Raw genomic sequence first — 6578 nt, forward strand, 5'->3', positions numbered from 1 at the left:
AGAAGCACGGTAATATTAGGTTAGCTATTTTATAAAGAGAAATGGTAACAATAATAATAATATATACCATTTCTGAGAACTTACATGTGCCAATCACTGCTGATTCAGTATCTCATTTAATTCCCCCAAGGACCTTGTAATTACTGGGTAACTACACCATAGTTTTCAGGTGAGAACACTGAGGATGCTATTTGTCCAAAGCCACAATAATACCAGGGGACAATAATACTACCTACCTCAAGAAAATGTGGGTCTCAATGCAAAATGTAAATGTGGGATCCCTTTTTATTAAGAATTTCAAGATGATAGCAGCAGAGAATTAAACCAAGCACAGGCCCTTCTTAGCCTGGGGTCCTGGGTGACTGCACGGGTGGTACACCTGTGAGGCTGGGCCTGCCCAAGAGGTTGTATGTAGTAAGGATTGAAGAAGGTAATATAATAATAAAGGAAAATACATACATAGCACTTACTATGTGCTAGGTATTTTTGTAGGTGCTTTGTAAACAATAACTCATTGCATCTTCACAGAAACCTTATGAGCTAGGTACTTTTAAAAAATCACCCCCATTTTACAGGTGAGAAAACAAAGGTACAGAAAGGTTAAATAATTTTCCCAAGGTCACATAACTAATAAGCAGTGGAGCTGGGACTTCAAACCAGAAAGTGTGGGTACCATGGCGCTAGTACAGGTAAAGTACTTCACGTGTGGTCTGTGTCCTCACTGCATGGAAAGGTCTGCAAGTCTTATTGTTGGCTAGTGTCAAATCAAGATCCCCCGATACCATACCTACAATTAACAAATATGTTATATTCCCTGGTCACATAGGAACCACACATTTCATTTTGGGAACATTCTGGTATGCTGTTAATTTTACTTACTCGTGAGACTATCAAAAATTCTAAAAACATTTTTATAAATAAGAAAAAATTTCCTCTGAATTTATACCATACTTACTCCTTTAACATGTAACAGTGTCACTTAACTTTGGTATGCTTTGTAAAGGAAGAAATTACTAACTTAAAAATATGTTTAACCCACGACACATCTGGCTTAGGATATACTATCAAAATGGGAAGGAGTGACAAATCTACGATAGTCATTCAAATTTAAAAATAAATTTGAAAAAGACAGATACCTCCAGTTTGGATAATTAAGTCATCTCAAGTTTATTATTGCAAATTTACTTAAAATAATTTTCAATTATTTGGGAAATGAAAATGGAAAGAGAGCAAAATACACTATAGTTTGACGTTACTACCTATCTTTATTAGATGAAAATGAAAAATTAATGCTAGTAGCTATTTGGGAACCATCTAGAATTCTAATTCTAAAGATTTCTTTCTAAAAAGGATTACCATAATACTTAGCATTTAAAATGGTAACTGATAACAATAATCTCATCTACCATCATCTAACTGTATCTAATTTGGATATTTCCATAATTTTAATCAAGAAAACATTAGATTGGAATCTTTAAAATTAAAATGTATAAAAACTAATACAACAAGGCTGGGCACGGTGGCTCACACCTGTAATCCCAGAGCTTTGGGAGACTGAGGAGGAGGATTGCTTGAACCCAGGAGTTCAAGACCAGCCTGAGCAAAATAATGGGACTCCCATCTCAATTTTTAAAAATTAGTTGGTTATGGTGGCACATGTCCATAGGCTCATCTACTAGGGAGGTTGAGGTGGAAGGATCACTTGAAACCAGGAGTTCAATGCTGCAGTGAGCTATGATTGCACCACTGCACTCAGGCCTGGGTGACAGAGTGAGACCTTGTTTCAAACAACAATAACAACAAAAACTAGTACAACAAAAAGGTGCTCAGAGACTCTTAGTTTTCCCTTAAGGGTTCATAATTACCCTAACAAACTAAAAGTTGCTTGTAGTATCCCCCGTTTTCTGAGAAATTTGATTATAATAATTGGTGATACTAAGTGATTTCAGAAGTTATGAGTTCATAGGGAAGAAAAACCATAGTGCACTTTATAAAAATAAGGAAAACCCTCCAGGGTTTCCATCTATGACTTCCTTACTGAGTGTCTCAGTTGAGCTGCTAGTTTGATGTAGATAATCTGTTCAGTGGTGCTGAAAAGAACATATTCTCTAAGCTATATATACATGTACATTAAAAGATTTTCAATGAAATGTTTTTGTAGTGAAATATTGAGAAACGTGCACTTCTGTTTGCTAAATGAACTTCTCTGTTCACTGTTACACAGATAGGTATCCCAAGGAAACAATCCTGTAGAAACAAGCCAAGGTCGCCCTCTGCTGGCAAACGCTCATTATTCTCTCAACTCCTTCCACTATTTTGGGTGGAAATTTCTTTGAAATGTTTTCAAGTCATTGTCTAAAGGAATGGGGTAGAGTCTTGAGTCACAACAAAAGAGTTTGGGGAAAACCAAGAGGGTTTCTATGTGATACACTCAACAGGAATCCGCTTTGTTAATCAGCTTTGGATGCCCCAATTCCCTGTAAAGCTACACTTAATGTGTGCTTCTTTGCAACCTAGCTATTCACAAAACTTTAAGCCAACATATTACATCTCTTTTATTAAAAATTCAAAATGAAAAGTAACTCATGCTAAGAATATAGGCATGTTCAGTTTCTATTCATCTAGCAATTAATAGAAACTGTACTTATTCATAAATATTCCCTGTGTAAAAATGGCAGAAAAGTTTACCAGTTTGAATGACAGTCACTACCAAAATTTAATTATTTTTCTATTGTTTAATTATTTTTCACCTATATTGTATGGCTCAATAATCATACAATCATACCCAGGGATAAAATCTTACTGATCTCGCAGAGCACGGTAGCTCACGCCTGTAATCCCAGCACTTTGGGAGGCCAAGGTGGGCGGATCACAAGGTCAGGAGTTCAAGACCAGCCTGACCAACATAGTGAAACCCCGTCTCTACGAAAGATACAAAAATTAGCCAGGCATGGTGGTGTGCACCCGTAATCCCAGTTACTGGAGAGGCTGAGGCAGGATAATCGCTTGAGCCCTAGAGGCAGAGGTTACACCGAGCCGAGGTCGCGCCACTGCACTCACTCCAGCCTGGGCGACAGGGCGAGAGTCCATCTCAAAAAAAAATAAAATAAAATACCGTTCTCCCTTTTTGTTTCTAGGAGGCAAAACATAAATCAGCATAATCTGCCACCTGTGGAAGTGTAGAGTTAGGTTTTGGGGCAGGCTGCTTGCATTCCAATTCTACGTCTACTCCTTGCCTCTATGGCTGGGACAAGTTACAACCTGATCTCAGTTTCATCAACCATAAAATGGGCATAACAACAATAATAATGACTTGGTAGGGTCATGGTGAGGATTAAATGAGATTATCCATTTAACAAGAGTCTTGGAATATCAGCTATAATATTTGGGCGAGCATACTGCTCCTCAGTGGTTCCACTGATGGTATATGCAAAAGCAGTTTGTCAACTACATAATCCTAAACAGCGGGAAGAGTTTATAGAGCATGCTGAATAACCAGGATTATAGAGGAATCTGTATCATAATAGAGGCTTCTGGAAGATACATTGGGCGTTGAAACATAAAATGCAACAAGTATTAATAACGAACACATGTAAGATACTCTGCTTGGTGCTGCAAAGCATATACATGGAAGTAGATACAAGTTTTAAATCTAGGAATCTAGACAAGACAAATACACTATTTAATGAGGCAGAATATGCCTCGAAACCCTGAGAGAGCTTTGGGAGGGCTTTTGAGAGTTTAAAGGAAAGATAGTAAGAGGAGTTCCATTGAAAAAGGATAAGAAAATGTAGTTGAAGCACTTCTCAGAGATGAGTCCAAAGCTTTGCTGGTAGGAGGGTCAGGCACAGGACAGACATCATGGACCTACTCTGTATCAGTTGTGTGAGCTCTGGTAAGTCACATTGAGAGATGACAGCGTGCTGGCAGTCCTCACAGCCCTCGCTCGCTCTCGGGGCATCCTCTGCCTGGGCTCCCACTTTGGCGGCACTTGAGGAGCCCTTCAGCCCACCGCTGCACTGTGGGACCCCGTTTCTGGGCTGGCCAAGGCCGAAGCCCGCTCCCTCAGCTTGCAGGGAGGGGTGGAGGGAGAGGCGCGAGCGGGAACCGGGGCTGCGCGCGGCGCTTGCGGGCCAGCTGGAGTTCCGGGTGGGCGTGGGCTTGGCGGGCCCCGCACTCGGAGCAGCCGGCCGGCCCTGCTGGCCCCTGGCAATGAGGGGCTTGGCACCCGGGCCAGCGGCTGCGAAGGGTGTACTGGGTCCCCCAGCAGTGCCAGCCCACCAGCGCTGCGCTCTATTTCTCACCGGGCCTTAGCTGCCTTCCCGCAGGGCAGGGCTCGGGACCTGCAGCCTGCCATGCCTGAGCCTCCCACCCCCTCCATGGGCTCCTGTGCTGCCCGAGCCTCCCCGACGCGAGTGCCACCCCCGCTCCACGGCGCCCAGTCCCACGGACCACCCAAGGGCTGAGGAGCGCGAGCGCACGGCCTGGGACTGGTGGGCAGCTCCACCTGCAGCCCCGGTGCGGGATCCACTGGGTGAAGCCAGCTGGGCTCCTGAGTCTGGTGGGGAGGTGGAGAACCTTTATGTCTAGCTCAGGGATTGTAAATACACCAATCGACACTCTGTATCTAGCTACTCTGATGCGGCCTTGGAGAATCTTTATGTCTAGCTCAGGGATTGTAAATACACCAATCAGCACTCTGTATCTAGCTCAAGGTTTGTAAACACACCAATCAGCACCCTGTGTCTAGCTCAGGGTTTGTAAATGCACCAATGGACACTCTGTATCTGGCTACTCTGGTGGGGCCTTGGAGAACCTTTGTGTCTAGCTGAGGGATTGTAAAGGCACCAATCAGCGACCTGTCAAAACAGACCACTGGGCTCTACCAATCAGCAGGATGTGGGTGGGGCCAGATAAGAGAATAAAAGCAGGCTGCCGGAGCTAGTAGTGGCAATCTGCTCGGGGCACCTTCCACGGTGTGGGAGGTTTGTTCTTTCGCTTTTTGGGACCACGTCGTCTTTATGAGCTGTAACACTCACCGCAAAGGTCTGCAGCTTTACTCCTGAAGCCAGCGAGACCACGAGCCCGCCGGGAGGAAGGAACAACTCCAGATGCGTCGCCTTAAGAGCTGTAACACTCACTGCCCGAAGGTCTGCAGCTTCGCTTCTGAGCCAGCGAGGCCATAAACCACCAGAAGGAAGAAACTCCAAACACATCTTAACATCAGAAGGAACAGACTCCGGATGCGCTGCTTTTAAGAACTGTAACACTCACCGCGAGGCTCCGCAGCTTCATTCTTGAAGTCAGTGAGACCAAGAACCCACCAATTCCGGACACAACATCACCTCTGTCAGCTTCATTTTCCATATCTATAAAATGGAGATAATCACAATACCTATCTTTTAGGGCTGGTCTGGAAACTACAGGAGATGGAGCATCTAAAGCGCTTAGCATAGGGTGATGCTCAAAAGAGCTATTATTACCATCATCGTCTAGACTAGAGGTTCTCAGTCTTGGCTGCATCTTAGAATCACCTGGGGAGCTTTTAAAAAATATTAATTTCCTCTTTTCTAGCCCAGGCGTACTAAATCAGAATCTCTAAGGGTGCAGTGTAAACATCACAGTTTTTAAAAAGCTGCCCAGGATTCCAAATGATCTACAGCCTTGGTACTTAACTCTGGTTCACGGCCCAGCAACCTCTGCTGGGAATTTGGTAGAAATGTGGATTTTTAGGCCCATCGTAGACCTACTGAATCTGCATTTTATAAAAAGATACCCCAGATCCTAAACCTCCTTAAGAAGGTCAAGGCACGCAGACCACACTGAGTAGTGAAGGAGAGAATCCAGGGTAGCTACATAACCTCACGAAATCCCTTCCTTGTGATCTGTCTTTTCCTTCACTTCCTTCTTCAGATGCTCCTAAAAGTAGGGGTTGGGAGGAAACAACCAACTGAAATATTTGGAGTGGGCGTGTGTGAGTAATAAGAATCCCTTAACATTTCTACAGACAGTTCTATTAGTAAGAGTAGTTCACGTATGATTTCACTTGACCCTAATTAGGAACAGCCCTGGCATCATTTTCCCCACCATGCAGCAGGAAACTGAGGCCCAAAGAGCCCCGAGGTGGGCTCAGGGTACCCCAGTGGGCAAACAGGGAGAGGCCAGGGCGGGAAACCCGCGGCCGACCTCGCCTTGTTCGGAGGCAGCGTTAGAGCAGCTTCTCGGAGGTTGGCCTTGGACGTGAATTGGAAGCAATCAGAATCTTTTAGATGTTTATACATGATAAATGCAATAATTAATTCACAAGAGAAAACAGCTAGCTACCTTGCACTAGCCCTAGTTGCGGATTGATTGACTGATTTGAGATGGAGTTTCGCTCTTGTTGTCCAGACTGGAGTGCAATGGCATGGTCTCGGCTCACTGCAACCTCCACCTCCTGGGTTCAAGCGATTCTCCTGCCTTAGCCTCCCAAGCAGCTGGGATTACAGGCACCCGCCACCATGCCCGGCTAATTTTTGTATTTTTAGTACTGACGGGGGGACGGGGGGGCGGGGGGGCGGGGGGACGGGGGGCGGGGG

The sequence above is a fragment of the Homo sapiens genome, chromosome 20 (genome assembly GCF_000001405.40).
Source record: "Homo sapiens chromosome 20, GRCh38.p14 Primary Assembly".
In the NCBI taxonomy this organism is placed as follows: Eukaryota; Metazoa; Chordata; class Mammalia; order Primates; family Hominidae; genus Homo; species Homo sapiens.